Genomic DNA, 18,347 nt, shown 5'->3' on the forward strand with positions numbered 1-18,347 from the left:
CAAAGTATTTAGACAAACTAATATTATAAATAGAAAGTGGGCAAGATAGGCTGGGCGCTGTGGCTCACGCCTGTAATCCCAGCACTTTGGGAGGCCGAAGAGGGCAGATCACGAAGTCAGGAAATCGAGAACATCCTGGCCATCATGGTGAAACCCCATCTCTACTAAAAATACAAAAATTAGCTGAGCGTGGTGCCGCATGCCTGTAATCCCAGCTACTCGGGAGGCTGAGGCAGGAGAATCGCTCGAACCAGGGAGTCGGAGGTTGCAGTGAGCTGAGATTGCACCACTACACTCCAGCCTGGCGACAGAGCGACACTCTGTTTCAAAAAAAAAAAAGAAAGAAAGAAAGAAAAAAGAAAGTGGGCAGGATAAAAGAATCTGAATATAAATCAATTTTCTATACTTTACGCAAAGTGGTAAAATGTCAATACAGGAGACTATGAAGTATGTAGACCGTGACAGTAGACATATGTATACAGTAGTCCCCCTTTATCCATGGGAGGATATGTTCTAAGACCCCCAGTAGCTGCCTGAAACTGCATTAGTACTGAACTCTACATTTACTATGTTTTCTCCTATATAGACATGTCTATGATAAATTTTAATTTACAAATTAGCTTCAGTCAGATATTAACAACAACATAATAAAATAGAACAATTATAACAATATGCCAACATCAATATTCTTGCATTTTTGGGCCATTATTAAGTAAAATAAGGGTGACTTGGACACAAGCAGTGTGAGACAGCAAAAGTTAATCTGATAACGAAAATGGCTACTAAGTGACTAACAGGAAGTAGCTTTTATAGTGTGGCGATGCAGGACAAAGGGATGATTCATATTCCACAGGGGACAGAGAAGGAAGGTGTGTGATCTCATCACACTCCTCAGAATGGAGCACAATTCAAACCTGTGAATTGTTTATTTCTGGAATTTTGTATTTGATATTTTTAAACCACGGTTAACCATGGATAACCGAAAACAGCACAAACAAAACTGTGAATAAAGGAAGATTATTGTGCTGTAATACCCAGAGCAACCACTAAAAAACAAAACAAAACAAAACTATCCAATGATATGGACTCAGAAATAGTGTAAATAAATCAAAATGAAACTCTGAAAAATGTTTAAATTATCTACAGTAAGGACAGAAAAGGGAAATCAAAGAATGAGAAACAGAGTGAGTGAACAAACAATAAATACATAAACTGACAGACTTAACTCTTCACATATCAATAGTTATACTAACTGTAACTGATCTAAACATATCAATCAAAAGATAGAGATTAGCAAGGTGGATAAAAACATGACCAAAATTATAAGAAACTTGCTAAAAACATGATAATATAAGCAAATTGAGTGGACAGAAAAAGATATACTATGCAAACATTAACTTTTTTTTTCTTTTTTTTGAGACGGAGTCTCACTCTGCTGCATAGGCTGGAGTGCAGTGTCACGATCTCGGCTCACTGCAACCTCCCTCTCCCGGGTGCAAGCGATTCTCCTGCCTCAGTCTCCCGAGTAGCTAGGACTACAGGCGTGCACCACCACGCCCAGCTAATTTTTCTATTTTAGTAGAGATGGGGTTTCACTGTGTTGCCTAGACTGGTCTCGGCGTGAACCACTGCGCCCAGCCGCAACCAAGAATAACTGTATTAGTATCACATAAAATAGACTTCTGAGCAAAAAGACTTAAGCAGAAACAAAGAAGGCTATTACATAATAGTGAAAGGGTGAATCCACCAAGAACACCTAGTCATCCTACTGTACATGCACCAAACAACAGTTCATCAACATATATAGAAGGAAAACTGAGAGAACTGAAAGAAAAATAGACAAATCCACAATTTTAGTTAGCGATTTTAATACCCTATAACTGTTAAAGTAACTGATCTTAAATTTGAAAACAATAAATTAATCTTTAGGCCCAGATGACCAAACATTAACTAAGAATTGGCACCAATTACACAGAATCTCTTTCAGAAAATATCATTTAAATGAATACTTCCCAACTTATGTTATGAGATCAGCATCACCTTGATACCAAAACCAGACAAAAACAAAAGCAAGAAGGAAAAGAAGAAAGAAAGAGAGAGGAAGAAAAGGAAGGAAGGAAGGAAGGAAGGAAGGAAGGAAGGAAGGAAGGAAGGAAGGAAGGAAAAGAAAATTACAGATCAATATCTTTCATAGATTTAGAAGCAAAAGTCTTCAGCAAAATACTGGCAAATTGAATCTAGCAATGTATAAAAAGAGTTCTTACATGATACCAAAAGCACAATCCATAAAATAAATATTCATTAAATTGGACTTTATCAAAATTAAAATGTTTTTCTCTGTGAAAGATCTTGTTAAAAGGATGAAAAGATAGATAGGGAATAAATATTGGCAAACCACATGTCCTACAAAGAATCGGTATCAAAAATATGTAGAGAGAAAAACTGATCAAGTAAGGAATTCGTTTCACTGATCTTTACATTTTCTACACAGTTCTCTTCTCTTGCAGATTTACAGGATTTAGCACAAGATTCTAGTAATGACTGCACCATGTTAAATAATTAGGAAAGTAAGGTTCTGCTAACTGGTAATCCTGAATAGCAATATGTGGTAGATTTTTACAGTTAGGGTACCCAATGAATCACACCTCCCTCTATCCACTCCATTATGCAGTCTTCTCCCACGGCGACTCTAGAGTTAGCCATGATGATTTGGCTGAAGGGACAACATACAAGTAGAAGTTTAAAATAACTTCCACATTACGACCAGTCCCCTTTCTTCTTGCTTTTAGATCCACATATGAAGAAGCCAAACCATACTGCTAGAGACACACGGCTCAGCCAACAGTCATCAGTCAGTCTCAAACAAGACTTTTGAGTGAAGCTGTCTTAAAATATCAATCTCCAGGACACTCACCCAACAAGATGCAGAATGGAAGCAAGCGAATGAACCTAGCCCATATTGCTAACCCAGAGAATCATGAAGAAGTAACATAGTTGTTTTAGGTCACTGATTTTCATAGTAGTTGGTATTGCAACAATGCGTAACTAATACAGCATATTATTACTAAATGTTTAAATTGTACTTAAATATAAGCCAAAATAAATGGGTTAATCCAATTGTGTAGTTGAGTGCTTTCATTTCAACCTTTATTTTAAAAGCCTTTCATAATGATTCTAACTTTTTTAAAATCTGAAGTGTTTATGATGTTCTGAGTGTTTTGGAAGAGATTAACAGCATCAATGTAGATGGTATGGGAAATTGAATTTATACAGAACCTAATTTGTATATTGTATTTTTAATTTACCAATACTGACTATAGCTCCAATTTCTGCCTGCCTTTGTAATATCAAATGGCTAAAAGTTAATAAATTCAGAGTTTACCCAGAGGCAATTAATATATTTTACTAAATATACCTTTATACAAAGAACCAAGCCTTAAACCACTATAGACTGTGGTCTCTTTTTCTTATCATCTATTTGAAAATAGTCTAAAAGAGAAGATCCAATTGCCAAACATGGAGATCAGCACTCTTAAAAGTTTAAAATGTTCATCTGTCACTGTAATTTTGCCAAATCATGTTATTAAGAGTAATTTGTGAAATTTACTACTCAAGCTATTATTTTAGGTCAAACAATCTAGTAAGCACATTAATATGAAAAACATCCCATTTTTCAGCATCTTAACTGCAACAAACTTTAAAGTATGCCAGTCTTCATGCTTTAGGGCATAATTTGGTTACCAGCTGGGGTCAGGAAGAAATTTTCCCCATAGTGTAGTATTGCCAATTACCATAGGTGTAGAGCGAACAAGAGAAAGAGACAGGGGGTTACTTGGTTCTCTAAAGCATCTGGTATTGGATGCATTCTGAGTGAGAATTCAGGATAAGATGAAACATTCAATTGTCCCTCTATGTCAATTCCAATATTCCTATGAGCTGCCAATATGACACGGCTGCCACAAGGGAGGGATTTTCTACAGAACAGATGTCACTTACAGTATTATGTGGGCTATCTATCTCAACAAATAATTGCTTGGCACTTCTGCCCTATGGCAAGGGTCTGAAAATATGTTAGGGTGAGAACACACCATACAAGCAGATGGGCATAGATAAAAGAAAGAGCAAGAGCACACTGAGCCTGAAATGCATGTGTAAAAGCCAGATGGGAGGACGGAAGCAAATGTTTTTTTTTCCTTATCTTTAGTGACTAAAGCCCCAAACCAGGATTTTCCAGCTATTAGTTATTTAGAAGTTCTATTTTAAAATTTCTTTAAATAAGAATGAGTTGCAGGAGGCTCCAATTTATTGAAACAAAGAAACATTGCCTTTTTGGTATAAACTTCAATTCACATTTGAAAATGATTGCATTTTGCTTAAGCCCTGACACTGATATGAGACTCCCAACACCAATGTCCCCCACTTTCATGCCCCCCCCCAAAAAAAAGAAAAAGGAAAAAACTAGGCTGGGATAAGAGGATGGACACAAAGACTGACAATGAATGACAAAGGACAATTGAGATGGGACTTGCCTGAGAGAGACAGCAAGAGAGGAAAAAAAGTCCTTTTAAAATATCAATAAGAGAATCAAAGAAAGCAAGATCCTTTTTCTGATAAAAGGGGAAAAGTTAATAACAGTGAAGAAAGAGAAGGGAATTGCAATATGCTCCTACTGTAATGGAAGAAAAGAAGATGAAGGTAGAATCAGAAAGTAACAACTTTAAATAAGTTTAACATATATGTTACTTTTACACTTTACACAATCTGTGGATTAAAGTTTTAAAAATATTCAAACTACTTGCCCCAATAGTAAACCTGACTGGCTCTTTAAATAATTAGTTGGAGAAAGAATAGGGGTGTTTTTGCTCACAAGAACCAGCAAAGAAATTTTCACTTTTAAGATACGTTGATTGCAGAAAAGACCTTGGGGGGAGTTGGGGCAGGGGGGCAACAATGAATGTATTGTAAATTATTAAAAGGCATTAAGTTATATCTCAAAATTAGAAAATGCTTGACGGCATTATTGATACATTTTTATGTCTGAAATGGGATGCAAGTAATAACTGAAAGTTTTCTAGACAAAAATAAGTTTGCCATTCAGTAATGTCTGAAAACTGTGATTCAACTGAACATTTGTTCATATGTTGGAGCTGATTCAAAGATGACTCTTACAGAAAACTCTAACCATTGCTTACTAGTATCCTTTTCTATAGTCTTTTAATCTTCAGGAACACTGGAGAAATTCTTTAATTTTTATCATAAGATATTCGTCCTATCACATGTTCCTCTGTTTTCAAAGTTTAATAATCAACCCTTAATTATTAATATAGAAAAACAGGATACAAGTTTCTCATGGAAAATATAACCTCAAATTTTTCTATCTGGCTTCTAACTATAGTCTAGCTTAGAAAAGTATAATGCGGGAGAAATTGCCTAAGGATCAACCATGTGATTTATTTACTCTTCCCAGCACTCAAAGCAAAATAGGTCAGTGGGAGGGTTAAGGATACACCACCCCATTTCAGCTGACATAGGAATTGGACTTTTTCTGAAAGAGAATGAGAAGCCACTGAAGAGCTTTCATTGGTGTGTTTGTTTGGAAAAAGGGTATCAATCATAGTCACATTTAGATGATGACTGATCTCTGAGGATATGTGGTAGAGAAAGATTGGATAGGAACGAGATTGGACCCAAGGACACCAATGTGGAATATTGTAAGAATACAGAAATAATGATGACAAATAATGATGACCTTGATTAGGGTGGTAGCAGCAACAATAAAGGAAGGAGGATAGATTTGAGAACTATTTACAAGGCAGATTCAACAGGATTTGGCAATAACAAAGATGAAGGAGACAGAATGAAAGGATGACCCCAATTTTAAGGCTTGACTAAGTGCATGGATAAGTATTCCAGTTATGAAGTACACAACACCTAAGAATAAGCAAGTTTTTCATTTCATTTACACTTGTGGCAGCATTCAGAGAAACTAGCTTATTCATTTAGTTTGGGTCTAAATATTGAATTTGAAGTGGCATCTATGTAGAAGAGGATGGATACTTGAATGTGTAGCTCAGAGGAGGGCTATAAATGAGACAAATATTTGTAGGTTGTTAGCATTTACATTTATCGAAGCAGTGTTAGTGGATAATTTTGCCTGTGATAGTATGAAAAGTCAAAAGCAAAGAAATCCAGAAACAGTTTTAAGGAAAACCAAATATTTGGTAAGCACCTACTGTGCTCTAGTTTCTGGAGCTGCATCTATCAATAAGATAGGCAGGGTGAGATAATAGTGTGCTATTTTCAGAGACTTTTAAAGGTTGTGTAGAAAATAAGACAGGCATGGTAATAACGATTACCTGAAACTGGCAGAACATTTTCAGGGAGAGGCCAGAAGTGAGACAAGCAAAGGAAAGCCTGAGGGAACACTTGGAGCCCCAGGGAAGCAGAGCAGGAAATGGGAATAGGTCTCCACAAAGACAAAAGCAGGGAAGCTGTGATCACTCAGAGCCAACCAAGACACCAGAAAGTGGAAAGTTCGTTTTCTCTCTGGTAAGTGTAGTAGAAGATGAAAAGTGATTCTGCCAAAGCTGCTGCTTACACAGGATTCAGAGCAGTCAGAATGGACAGGTCTCAAAAAAGTTGTGAAAGACAATGACTTGAACCTAAACTCTAGAAACCTGAAAGGACAGCAGGAAAGATGGGTAGCTGTTCAATCTAGTGAGCAAAAATAATAATTAACAAATAACCAAGACATGACATTTCCTTATATCTTTCACTGAATCTCTTAGTTTCTATAGTTAAATATTAATATTAAAATGTAATGTGGAATAGAAATTATACTATTTCTGTTTTTGTCAATTATCTATATCTGAAATTTCAGCCACAGGGTCAGTTAACACGTAGAGACACGGTTATTCATTCGGTGGCAGCTACTAGAAATAATTAGTATCTATGTCTCCGGACACGCATATTTAAAAGATAATTGAAAATGAGGAGAGCAGTTTGCCACTGAAAATTAGCAAAACAAAGTTGTTTGTTGAGTATATATTATTTTAAAAATCTAAAGAAGTATTTTTTAATCAATGCCATGATGCATTTTCAAATAACTACAGGAAATTTAAAGAGGTCGCTACTAGTTATAATAAACTCCTAAAAGCCTTCAGAAGAGGAGACATACAAGAAAAATTTGAAAATGGACAACAGTCTTTACATTTACAGAGGAAGATTATGAAGTTAAAGGTGACCAATTTTCTATGTTTCAAGATAAGTAAAAGGAAATTATACTAAAATTACAGGTCAATAATAGTGAAGAAAAGGGAGAACATTAATATTCTAACTTCTCCAGATCCTGCAATTTATTATCCGAAGGTTGTCTGATTCTCTCTGCTTTATTACCTAAAATCAAGACAGACCCAGAAATGTAGGTATTGATTAATAAGAACCACAGTGCCAGACTGCCTTCTACTTGAGGACTCTAAGAGAACAGGTGACTCCCACTCTAATTTCCCTCAGCTTCAGTGAGCCATTTTCCTCCATTAGTAAGCTCTTGGGCTATCAAGCTATTTCACAGGGTATTAGATGCTGAGTCTCAGGTGTATAATATATGTTATTCAGGCAACACAATGGGCATTATATGACTTCTCTAAGTTTCTTGATTATGGTGTTGATCAAAATGCTTATAAAATTAGCATAAGCATGGCTACCATTTCAGTTCATCCATTACTCATTATCAGAGAGTGCTAGATACATTTGCTCAAGTCCGAACCATGCATTCCTTACATTTATAACAAAAGGGAACTCTGGGGGAAAATGTTTTCATTCTTATTTGAAAAACATTTTTACAGACAATGCACAGTTGTTTTTACTTTTTCAGCTTTGCAGTTTCTCTAATTTCTATCCCTTTTAAACTCCCTCTATAGGCAGAGGGACTTTGAAGTATGTAAAGTATAATATACAGTCCACTTGACATAATTTTTTAAGCCTGTATTTCACAAAAAAAAAAAAAGCTAAAGTTTTAAGAGGTCTTTGAAATAGATGACTTCAAAAGGGTGTTCAGCGTAAATGTAAATGAGATTTATATCTGGAGGAGATGATCAAATCCTACAGGTTATTTAACAAATTTAAAACACCCAAAGCACAACTAGAAAATGAGATCTAAACATCGAAGACTTAGCTACTGAGGCTGTGATTGAATATTTTTTCACTGCCTTCTCATGTTCCATAAGTTTTACCTCTGTGTCAGGATTAATATCCTCTATATACATCTCTTGGTATTTTTTATATTTTGAATCCGACCTCCATTCCCTGCAGCCCTCCAGTCCTATGGCCCCAGAGAAAAGGAAGGATGAATGCCAATGCTGGAAAAAGGAAGATGTAAGAAGTTTCTAGAAGACCAAGAAATCATATGTTTTCTCCAAAAAAAATTATAGAAAGAGGAGAAAGAGAGACCAGGAGGCAGACATGAGAGTCCTGATCCCCTACTCTGGCACAAAACCACTAGTACATATGCAGTAGAGAGTTTGCAAAAGGACAGAAACCCCAATGTATCCACTACCACTGCTTTAATAAAAGTAAATGTTAATAACCTACAAATATTTTTCTCCAGTTAATAGCCTTTCTCTGAGCTACAAATCCAAGTATGCAACTGCCTCTACCTAGGTGCCTCTTCAAATTCAATGCAGTCCAACAGAAAAAAGAAACATACACAGGAGAAGCACCTTAGTGTTGACCTAAATATCCCTGCAGGCCCCCAGTGGATGAGGGGCAGCAACCAAAATAGTCTAGCCTGGGCTCTGTGGGTGAGACTCCAGATCCGTTGGCATTGACCGCTGATGTTGATGCTGCTAGGAAAACATGCTATGAACCTTGTTAGCCACAGACTCAGCAGCGCAAGCCAGCAGGAAGGCCAGTGGCAGTCAGAGAAAGAAGCATCTCGGAGGTAGCCATCCAGGTCAGAGGACATAAGCACATGAAAGCTTTGCCTCACATCCATGAAAGTCTGAGTGTTTGCCAAAAAGAGACAGATTTAACCTTAAAGTCACCACTTTACAAAAAAAGGCTTTGAGACATTTAACTGGGAAGTTAAATTTTCATCCTAATATCCTCTCCCCAATTAGCAAGCTCCTTTTCCCCATCTCTTTCCACCTTCCATTCCCGAGTAAGATGTACGTGTTGATAGAGTGGTGGGGAATTCAAGACGTTGTAGAAAAGAAAGAATTTCTTTTCTTTCTTTTGTAGAAAAGGTAGAATTTCTACCTCTCTATCTTTATCAACAAAATTAAAGTCAGCATTCCAAGAAGATAGAGCTTCCCACATAGAGTATCTCTATTCACATTCAACACAGGGCTGACATATGACGTTGCTTAGAAAGAAACAGTTTCCTATTGATTAAAGAATATCTCTTATTTTAAATACTCTAAAAACTGTCTAATTTCACTCTTTAAAATAAATTAATAAATACTTGTTGAAACACATTACAAGGTCTCATGAAGAAGTTTCACAGCATTTAAAAGACACTTATCACAGTGTAAGTCTCTAAGGCTTAGAATCTTTCCAGTAATGTGCCTCAACACTTAAAGTGTCAGCTGACTGATGACTTCAGTTTTTTGTTTTTTGTTTGTTTGTTTGTTTGTTTGTTTTTTGAAACAGAGTTTTGCTGTCACCCAAGCTGGAGTGCAGTGGCACAATCTTGGCTCACTGCAACCTCCACCTCCCAGGTTCAAGCAATTCTCCTGCCTCAGCCTCCTGAGTAGCTGGGACTACAGGCACATGCCACTACGCCCAGCTAATTTTTGTATTTTGTTTTTAGTAGAGACAGGATTTTTGGCCAGACTGGTCTCCAATGCCTGACCTCAAGTCTTTATGTCCACCCGCCTCAGCCTCCCAAAGTTCTGGGATTACAGGCATGAGCCACCGTGCCTGGCTGACTTCAGACAGTTTCAAAGTGGGCAGTACCTTCATAAAGTCACTGCAGACAAAAAAAATCTCAGCTTTTTGAGGCAAGAAATGTAATCACATAGTTTTGAGCGAGCTCTGAAATGTTGGCACATGCTAGCCAAAAGCAAGGTTGACCAAATGCACCCAGGGTGTCTGTTTACATATCACTTTTGCAGAGTCTGAAGTCTGTTCAACACACGTTAATTTTTCTTTTAATTGCATAGGCTGATCCTGTTCCCCATCAGAAACAGAATTTCCTACCTTAGATTTTTTAAATGTTTAAGATTTAGAGACTATATTTGGGTCAAACCAACTTTAACTGTTCAAAATAAACTTGACAGAGTTTTTACCTTAATGGACAATATGAATCCAAAGCTCTCCATCCTACAGATGCGATTTAAGAGAACTAATCACCTAGGGTGTTAAATGGTGAAGACTTAACTAAGACAAGAATAGCAGAGGCATCATAATGACCTGTGTTATAGCCACAAATTGAGATAACTGCCTGGCTTATGCAATTACTTGGAGGCCATGTCTGTACAACCCCTTTTGCCTCCCAATTATAATAACAGACCATCCCCTCCCTCTCTCCCTACAGCCATCAAAGCGAACACCTGACTTCTAAAAAAACTGAGCATAGCACTTACCATCTTGGTCATAATGACCAGGCCAAGGGCTAGACATGCGAGCCAGCAAATGTTCCCTAGAATAGTTCACACTGGAGCTGAATAACATTAAATACTTATTTTCCTTGATGGCAAGCTGTGAAGATGTGAGCCTGGAGGGACTGAAGCCTATACTGTTTGCTGCAAGGAGGAGCTGGTCTGAGAACAAAGACAATATGCAGAGAGCACAGATGAGACCTAGAGCTGTTCCTAGTGATATTTGAAGTTCTGGCTCTAGTCATCCCTGATATCAGCTCTCTTTCCTGGAAATAGCAGCCAACAAATTCTCTCTGTGATTTCATCTACTTCATACTGGGTTACTCTTACCGGGAATCATCAGCGTTTTCAATAATAAAGCTAGTGAGAAAGTAGTGAAACCCAACAAAGCAGACAAATAAGAACCACTAGGTCATAGTCAGAGAACAGTAATGTTGGTGCCAGTCATGCAATTTTGAGATCATTTCTTAAAATCTCTGAGCCTTAGTTCAAAATCTGCAAATGGGGCTTCCAGCTACTGAACTAGATTATTGAAGAATTAGAATACTATATGTAAAGTGATTAGCATGATGCTTGTCCCATAGCAATTGCTTACCAAGTGCTAAAAATATATTGTTTTATCATGAGGCTGTGAGGATAATGATGAGGAGGACTCAAAGAAAACAAAGATTATAGAACTCAGAATCTTCTACAACTTTTCATTAAAACCCTACTGGCTTAAATATTTTTGAGGAAAAATAAAAACTGCAAGCACTAAATAGAAAAATGTAATGAAGTTAGAAATAATTATAAACAGAACATTCTGATTATTTTAAGACGCAAAGGTATTTTAAAGCTCAACTTACAATAAATAAGCATTGTTATTGAAAGTTTACTCAAGGTCAATGAAATAGTCTTATTTTTAAGAAAAACTGTAATATGAAAAATAAAGCAAGTATTATTGATATAGCTACTTCCTGAAAATGGAGCTGGCAATACTTGTAGGCCCAATTCAAATGTCTCCACAGTAACAAAGCCTTCCTTGACATCACCAAAACCATGTACAATACTATACACCACACCAATGGTGCAAGCTTTTCTTTCATCGAATTTATTTATTTCCCATTCCACACTATAAAACCCTCCTAGCAAGGCCTCTTTTTTCATATCTGTACCTTTAAAATGTAGCTCAATAACTTGATCAAAAGCAGGTGCTCAAAATATAGTATTAAAATTAGACTAAATTTTAGATGTACACTGAGAGCATGAGACTTGGGTTCCAATCTTGCTTCTGCCACTTACTAGATGTGCTACCTTGAATAAGTCACCAACTATAGGAATATATCCTCATAGTGTTTGCTTTCAAAGTTACCTACAATAACCTCCTACCCCAGTACAAAAATTCCATCTCAATGCATTTTCTACCTACACACACTGTGATAGACCCTCTACAAAACGTAATCTTCAGTCAAACTTCATAAGCAGTTTTTGGCATAACTATTATCTTTCACATTGAATAAGTCAACAAAGCAATGCTTTATAAAGCCCACTATCAGAGAGCCAACAATGCAGACTCAGAATTCTAACTTTAAAAAACAGTCCTTCCCAAACCTGACAAAAACAAGAAATGGGGAAAGGATTCCCTATTTAATAAATGGTGCTGGGAAAACTGGCTAGCCATATGGAGAAAGCTGAAACTGGATCCCTTCCTTACACCTTATACAAAAATTAATTCAAGATGGATTAAAGACTTAAATGTTAGACCTAAAACCATAAAAACCCTAGAAGAAAACCTAGGCAATACCATTCAGGACATAGGCATGGGCAAGGACTTCATGTCTAAAACACCAAAAGCAATGGCAACAAAAGCCAAAATTGACAAATGGGATCTAATTAAACTAAAGAGCTTCTGCACAGCAAAAGAAACTACCATCAGAGTAAACAGGCAACCTACAGAATGGGAGAAAAATTTTGCAATCTACTCATCTGACAAAGTGCTAATATCCAGAATCTACAAAGAACTCAAACAAATTTACAAGAAAAAAACAAACAAACCCATCAAAAAGTGGGTGAAGGATATGAACAGACATTTCTCAAAAGAAGACATCTATGCAGTCAACAGACACATCAAAAAATGCTCATCATCACTGGCCATCAGAGAAATGCAAATCAAAACCACAATGAGATACCATCTCACACCAGTTAGAATGGCAATCATTTAAAAAGTCAGGAAACGACAGATGCTGGAGAGGATGTGGAGAAATAGGAACACTTTTACACTGTTGGTGGGACTGTAAACTAGTTCAACCATTGTGGAAGACAGTGTGGTGATTCCTCAAGGATCTAGAACTAGAAATACCATTTGGCCCAGCCATCCCATTACTGGGTATATACCCAAAGGATTATAAGTCATGCTGCTATAAAGACACATGCACACGTATGTTTATTGCGGCACCATTCACAATAGCAAAGACTTGGAACCAACCCAAATGTCCATCAATGATAGATCGGATTAAGAAAATGTGGCATATATCCACCATGGAATACTATGCAGCCATAAAAAAGGATGCATAGTATGTCCTTTGTAGGGACATGGATGAAGCTGGAAACCATCATTCTCAGCAAACTATTGCAAGGACAAAAAACCAAACACCGCATGTTCTCACTCATAGGTGGGAACTGAACAATGAGAACACTTGGACACAGGAAGGGGAACATCACACACCAGGGCCTGTCATGGAGTGGGGGGAAGGGGGAGGGATAGCATTAGGAGATATACCTAATGTAAATGACAAGTTAATGGGTGCAGCGCACCAACATGGCACATGTATACATATGTAACAAACCTGCACATTGTGCACATGTACCCTAGAACCTAAAGTATAATAATAAACAAAAACAGTCCTTCCTACACACTACACCACTTCTCTGTGCTTTAAAAGTCTTGGAGTGTTTTTAAAAATTTTCTCTCTATTGATAATCTTCATTATGGCATACTACAATGATTGATTCAAATAGCAAAATGAGATGATATAAAACTTCTTTGTGAAGTATAAAGTGCTCCAAAATATCAAGTAGTAGTTGTATCATGACAATGATGTAGATGATAATGATAATAACAGGAAAGGGAAAAGTATGTACTTTGGGTTCTTTGTTGCATTAATACTTCCATGCTGAATATTTCCATGCTGTTAAATGGGTCAGTTAATGTAAATTGTATCCACTTACTGGAAATTGGGAGGAAGCCCTGGGTTTTTATTCTTGTTTTTTTCCTTCAATTTTTTGAGTACAATTAAAACAGACAGATTTTCAGAGGTAGTTACTATACTTACTTAGAAATTACGGCTGTATATGTATACAGATACATACCCTGGTAAAGGATGGTAATTGACTTGAATAAATTTGTGGTCTTGCTGGGACAAGTCTATGCAACACTGGTTTGTATGAAAACTGCATGTGGAACTCTGTTCTATGGGCACTGATTTCCTGGCTGATTTGAAGTCTTCTCTCCTTTTCTCCTAATTGTTCTTTCAGCTGAAATTGAAGTCCAGTTAAAGCTTGTAACATATTTCTCTTCTTTTCTTCTCACTATTAGTGGATTTGGAAAAAAAGGAGCACTGTAAAACACATACAAAATAATATTTTATCACCTGAGACTACATACTATAAAATAAATTTAGTAAATGATAAGGGAGGTATTTGAAATAGAAAACAAACTCATTATTTAATGGTTATGGTTCATCCATAAAGAGGTAATTCTTAATGTTCAAGTTAAAAAAAAAAAAAAGATGAGAAGAAACAGTTGGCATTCAGCTAACAATTGTGTTTGGAGATTTGTGCCTGACTTTGTTATTCTGAGCAAAGCCAGGTACCAGTCTCTTGGGATTATGTACAAAGGCAAGAAAAAAAGTGGACATGAACAAACCTCAAAGGTGACTGCTGGGTTAATAAAACAGTCTGTTTTCTGTTCACCCACTCTTGCTCTCAGTGTGCAAGTATATTAAAATATGTCAAAAGGAAAACCATTCACTGTGCAAAAATAATTCAACTACAAGTCACAATTTCCAGCTGGTGGAGTGCCTTAGTGTATTTAAGTGCACTAACAAGTGACCCATACATCTCCCCGGATGAAAGTTGTATCCTCATTAAATGAGAAACAAACACAAAATAGGAACAACTGTCACACAGAAAAACAGACCACAATGGATACTGCATTTCCCACACTCAATTTCTGGCTTGAGCTATGGCAGACTGAAGAACAGTGCTGTCCTGGAAGTAACCTCTTAAAAGGGACTGAAAGTAAAACAAGGAAGCTGTTGGGGGACCTAAATGTCTTGCTAATAGCCACCCAAATTCTCAGTCAGAGTTTCTGGGAAAATATCATTTTCTTTCTGGGCCCTAAAAACTCCCATATTAGGTAAGACATTATATAATAACACTAATGTGAAGTAACTGGAATAAACAGACCCAACCCCCAAGGAATTTAGAATTAATGCTGTAAGTTATATTTTTAAATAACTCTGTTAGATAAACTCTGGTTTTAGTGTTTATAAGATATCATACCACACCCTGGTAAATGATAGTACTTGATTGAATAAACTTGTGGTCTTGCTGAGACAAGTCTATGCAACACTTTGTATGAAAACTGCATACCTTTTACTTTCTGATTTTCTCTAGGGAACTAAATCATTGATAGGACTCTGAAAAGAAAAAAAAAGAGAGAAGTTACTGTTTTTTAACTTTAATAATACTGTTCTTATTTGATTCATACGTTGTACATTATTATAAGGCAAAAACATACATTGGATGTTCAATGTGATAAGTTGCATCTTATACACAACAGGACATACAATAGGAGCATGTGTCTCCAAAAGGCAGATAGACAATATCTGGAAAAATAAGGGAACACTACTTGAGAGCAAATAACTGATTACAAAAGTATGGTACTAACAATTATTTCAAAGTAGGGTAAGATGTTCCACTTGTATACAGGCAACACCTTTGTTCAAACATTTTCATAGCAATTAGCACACACTAATTTCCTGTTTACTATCCCCTCCCTTCAACTAGAATATAAGCTCCTCAGGGTAAAATTCATTGTATGTTATTTCTCATATCATTAGAACTAGTACAGCCTCTGGCACATAATACAAACTCCAAAATTATTAATTGGTTGTTTGGCTAACTGATTATAGCTGTACACATGACAATTGGTGCCCAATATTGAATTGTCAACCTCCTAATGGAAGACAGTAGAGGAACTGGAAAGGGAAGATGTTTCTAGAAAGAGACTAATGTTTTCTATGACAAACTGTAGCCCAGGAGCAATGGATATATGTATAGAAAAAAAGAACCACACGGCTCTAAATTATGCTTTAAACTAGAATATATAAAACAACCATTAAAACAAAATTGAAGCCCAATAGAGGAATGTAGGTAATAACGGATCAGCAAACCAATCTAAAGAAATTAAAATGTCTAGGCCCAGAATAATTATGTGAGCTTGGAAACAAGAAAAGTATTTGAGGAACCAAAGTTAATGATAAGAAAAACTTATTAAAAATAGGAAAAGACAGATTTTAGAAACCAAGAGCTAGTGAGCTTGATTTTTAGGCATCATGAAATTCTAAAGCAGATTGATTATTAAACAGCTGGTCTATGAATTCATGAAAAATAAAGTGGAATTCACTAGGAGATAGGGAGCTGGACTCAAGAGAGTATTGCATGAAGACAAAAGTCCTTGGTTCATATTCTGAATGTGTGCTTCCTCTTACTTTAATGATTTTTCCTTTTCCCTATTTCTGCCAGTTAAACTATATCTCCCCCACTGCCACAATAAGTACTAACTCCTAGTACCTGTAAATATGAACTTATTTGGAAATAAGGGTCTTTGCAAATGTAATTAAGGTACACATTAAGATGAAGTTATATTAGAGTAGGGTGAGCCCTTAATTCAATATAACTGGTGTTACAGGAAGAGGGGAAGAGACACAGAGAACATGGACAGAGAAAGAAAAGAATCCCAAGTGATGAAGAAAGCAGAGATTAGAGTTGTGCTAGGAGGCAAGCTTGGAATTCTCCCTCTAAGCTCTCAAGAAGGAACCACTCCTGCTGACAACTTGATTTGAGAATTCTGGCCTCCAGAACTGTGAAAGAATAAATTTCTCTTGTCTTAAGTCACCCAGTTTGTGGTCATTTGTTATGATAGCCCTAGGAAATGAGTACACCATCCTATAAAAAGGAGTCAGTGATATATCTTTGCCAGGTGATTGTCAGGAGGATTATAATAAAGCATAGGTAAATATTAATTTCAGCAAAGCTTTTTACTAAGATTCTTATAATGCGTTCACTGATAAAATAAATCTGTGTGAGCTCAATTATTAGTTAGGTTCAAAGTTGCTAAAATTGCCATTTCCAAAGACAGCTGATTAATAATTCAACATAAACTTAATCTTTCCCAAAATGTTCACTTATGGATATACTGAAAATAACTCTCAGGTCTCAGATTTCTATCATTTAAGGCCCTTTATAGACAAACGGACACAAGTTTTGGAAAGTCACCTGAAGTAATAATGTTAATGATGGACACAGAACCTTTCATTCATCATTAGTTGTTCAACATATTTACAGGACTTAGAGAAGTACATAGAATGGATGCTATCCAAATAAGGGAGAAAAAAGTAAGTTGGGAAAAATAAAAGTAACACATTTAAAAAGAAAACTCGTTATCTTAATTTATTATCCTAACAATATAATTTAGTAACCATTATTAATAGTAATTTGATACTTTAAACTTCAAACAGTGCTTCACACATAGTAGATACTCAGTAAGTTACTGTTATTATTAATAGTATGATAAGCTAGAATGATGGGTCAAACCCACTTCAGCGAAAAACACACAATATTTCATTTGGGCTCAAAATTTAAATGGATATCAGGTAGAAAATATCCAGGCTCATCATTAACTCATAGGAAATAGATTTGGGGATTTCAGTTGATCAAAGTTTCAGTGAATGCATCCAAACAGTGTTTTGTGAGACCTCTAAAACAAAAATAAAACAAAATAAACAACAAAGGTGAGAATTTAGGATAAATCAGTAGATGTACGTAAGCCCATGACAATTTGCAAAGGGCAAGCGTAAGGGGGATTGTTTTTCTAAAAGCAGCAATTCTCCTCTGTACATTTGAGAGATGTTCTGGATGCTGAGGGCATCTGGATGCTGTGGGGGTGAAGTTCCAAGGGAGACAGAGAGTTTCTGCACACTCCCATCCTACACTTCCAGAAGATGAAGAGACGTAGGTCCCCACGGCATGCGAATCTGAGGAAGAAGATCTCTTGGTCAAAGACCTTTCTTCTGCCACCTAGAAACAACTGACGCTTCACAAAAGCAGCATCCGAGAAATGCAAGAGCGGTAAAAAATTATCAGAGGCTCCCTCGGTTGAGACTGAAGCATGCAAAGAAGGATGACAGAAATGTGAAGGAATCAAAGAAAGACATCAGCTAGGAAGGGACATTGAAACATCTCACTCTCAAAGAACCAAAGGAAACCCCCCTCCCCGCCACCCCCCAGTAATGGGGAGAGAGGACATTTGACAGAGAATGAAGACAAAGACATCAGAAGAGAAAAATCTCCCCACACACTGACTGTCATGAGCATGAGGGATAGCCAAGAAAAGTAAGGTAGATCTAATGTCAGTAGTGTGGTCCTTTGTTAATTAACCTTCCCTTTTTAAAAGCTGTTAGAGGTATCACATGTAACGTGGAACCT

At 36.6% G+C, this 18,347-nt stretch overlaps 1 protein-coding gene across 13 annotated transcripts in view, besides 1 other annotated feature; it reads right to left on the reverse strand.

The window, feature by feature from the left end:
- The window catches only part of TFEC (transcription factor EC), a 224,745-nt gene that overhangs the window by 161,610 nt on the left and 44,788 nt on the right, over window positions 1–18,347 (reverse strand). For 9 of the 13 annotated variants that reach the window (XR_007059992.1, XR_007059993.1, XM_011515970.2 and 6 more), the window contains 2 exons: window positions 15,231–15,277; window positions 13,947–14,165 (listed from right to left, as the gene is read on the reverse strand). Coding sequence is in view for 11 of the 13 variants with exons in the window: in XM_011515970.2 (XP_011514272.1) it covers window positions 13,947–14,144 (198 nt within the window). In the remaining 2 variants the exon portion in view is untranslated. Of the gene's footprint in view, window positions 1–13,946; window positions 14,195–15,230; window positions 15,278–18,347 lie in introns of all 13 variants that reach the window. The other 4 variants (XM_011515964.3, XM_047420051.1, XM_047420052.1 and 1 more) reach the window with 1 other exon arrangement.
- Window positions 674–968: an enhancer, noted in NCBI's record as "tiled region #6568; HepG2 Activating non-DNase unmatched - State 24:Quies, and K562 Activating DNase unmatched - State 8:EnhW". NCBI's record gives its function as "activates a minimal TATA promoter and a strong SV40 promoter by Sharpr-MPRA in HepG2 and K562 cells {active_cell/tissue: HepG2 | K562}" and the evidence as "EXISTENCE:reporter gene assay evidence [ECO:0000049][PMID:27701403]".

The sequence above is a fragment of the Homo sapiens genome, chromosome 7, assembly GCF_000001405.40.
Source record: "Homo sapiens chromosome 7, GRCh38.p14 Primary Assembly".
NCBI classification, from domain to species: domain Eukaryota; kingdom Metazoa; phylum Chordata; class Mammalia; order Primates; family Hominidae; genus Homo; species Homo sapiens.